The sequence below is a fragment of the Homo sapiens genome, chromosome 17 (assembly GCF_000001405.40).
Source record: "Homo sapiens chromosome 17, GRCh38.p14 Primary Assembly".
NCBI lineage: Eukaryota > Metazoa > Chordata > Mammalia > Primates > Hominidae > Homo > Homo sapiens.
Genome location: NC_000017.11, coordinates 71522147 through 71524347, shown reverse-complemented (window position 1 = coordinate 71524347; position 2201 = coordinate 71522147). Strand labels below are relative to the sequence as shown.

Here is a 2201-nt window from a genome sequence, read left to right as displayed (position 1 = left end):
CTCACAGATTCTTTCTTCTGCCATCTCAGATACACTGGTTAGCCTATCTAGTTCCTTTTCAACTTCAGTTATTGTACTTTTAAGTTCTAGAATTTCCATTTTTAAAAAGATAATTCTTCTCTATTGATAATCCCTACTTGTTTACTCATAGTATATTATCTTTTAACTATTTGGACATATTTATAATATTTATAATAGCCGCTTTGAAGTCTTTACTAAATACAATATCTGGACTATTAAGCACAAATTTTGATAGATTCTTTTTTTTCCCTTGGTCTAGTAATTTTTGCTTTAAAAGTAGACATTAGGCTAGGCATGGTGGTTCACGCTTGTAATCCCAGCACTTGGGAGTCTGAGGTGGGCAGATCACTTGAGGCCAGAGGTTTGAGACCAGCCTGGCCAACATGAAGAAACCCCGTCTCTACTAAATATACAAAAATTAGCTGGACATGTTGGTGCATGCTTGTAATCTTAGCTGCTCTGGAGGCTGAGGCATGAGAATTGCTTGAACCTGGGAGGCGGAGGTTGCAGTGAGCCGAGATCGTGCCACTGCACTCCAGCCTGGGCGACAGAGTGAGACCCTGTCTCAAATAATAAATAAAATAAAATTGGACACTTTAGATAAGGCATTGAAGTGACTCTGGATTCTGTTTTTTCCCTCTTTGAGAGCTGTGTTTTTATGATTTAGTCAGTGATAGACATGCATAAATACAAACTGAAAAGCTCAGTCTTCCTTGTGGTATGCAACCACTGAAGTCAATGCTCGTTTTTTGGTTTTGTCTTTTTAAGTGCTTGGTTCTCTAGAAGTCTCCCTGTGTCTTTATACTTCAGTGGTCAGCCACTGTTTTGTGCAGAGGCTATACTCAAACTCCTCCAACTGCTAAAGCTTCGCTTTCTGCCACCCAAGCTGCGTTGGGGAGTTGAGGAGCATCTTCAAAAGTATAAGACGTTTACAAGGCTTCTCAGGATTTGATTTTGCCAGGTTCTCTGGTGTCTCCATATGCATGTGTAGTTTGCATATGCATATGAATTATATCAGCCTTTCTATGGTTCTCTTGCTTCCAAAATCTCCTCATCAAATTTCTCTTTTTCCCCAGCTTTTATTTTAGATACAGGGGGTACATGGGCAGGTTTAATACATGGGTATATTGCAGCCAGATAGTGAGCATCGTACTCAATAGGTAGTTTTTCAACCCATATCTCTCTGTCTTCCTTCTCCCTCTAATAGTTCGCAGTGTCTGCTATTCCCGTGTTTATGTCCCTGTGTGCTGAATGCTTAGCTCCCAGTTATAAGTGAGAATATGTAGTATTTGCTTTTCTGTTCCTGTGTTAATTCACTTAGAATTGTTGCCTCCACCTCCATCCGTATTGCTGCAAAAGGCATGATCTTATTCTTTTTGTGGCTGTGTAGTATTCCATGAAGTAATCACAGTTCCTTTAGCCAGTCTACCATTGATGGGCACCTAGGTTGAATCCATGTCTTTGCTATTGTGAATAGTGTTCCAATGAACATTTGAGTTCATGTGTCTTTTTGGTAGAACAATTTGTTTTCTTTTGGATATATACCCAGAATGGGATTGCTGAGTTGAATGGTAGCTCTGATTTCGGTTCTTTGAGAAATCTGCAAACTGCTTTCCACAGTGAAAGGCTTTTACAGGCTGAACTAATTTACATTCCCACCAACAGTGTATAAGCATTCCCTTTCCTCTGCAGCCCCATCAGCATCTATTGTTCTTTTGACTTCTTAGTAATAGCCATTCTGACTGGTATGAGATGGTATCTCATTGTGGTTTTGATCTGCATTTCTCTGATGATCAGTGGTGATGAGCATTTTTTCATGTTTATTGGCCATGTGCATGCTTTATTTAAAGAAGTGTCCATGTCCTTTGCCCATTTTTTAATGTGGTTGTTTGTTTTTTCTTTGCTCTGAAACCTACCCAAAACCAACTTTACCACCTCTGGCCAGGGAAATTTTCATAGAAATACCCCAAGATACCCTAAGCAAGAAGCTCACAAGTTTATTGTGCTGTTATCTTCCTTCCTTCCTTCTTTCCTTTCTTCCTTTCCTTCTTCCCTCCCTTTCTTGCTCCCTCTCTTTCTCCCTTTTTTCTTTTCCTTCCTTCCTTTCCTCCTTTCTTTCTTTTTTTCCCTTCTCTTGCTATTTTCTTTCTTTTCTTCCTTCCTTTCTTTCTTTTCTCTAC

The 2201-nt window shown here is 39.5% G+C and overlaps 1 annotated feature.

The window, feature by feature from the left end:
* Positions 1456-1990: an enhancer, noted in NCBI's record as "OCT4-NANOG hESC enhancer chr17:69518499-69519033 (GRCh37/hg19 assembly coordinates)". NCBI's record gives its function as "activates a minimal SCP1, AML or CMV promoter by ChIP-STARR-seq in naive and primed H9 embryonic stem cells {active_cell/tissue: H9 hESC(naive and primed)}" and the evidence as "EXISTENCE:reporter gene assay evidence [ECO:0000049][PMID:30033119]".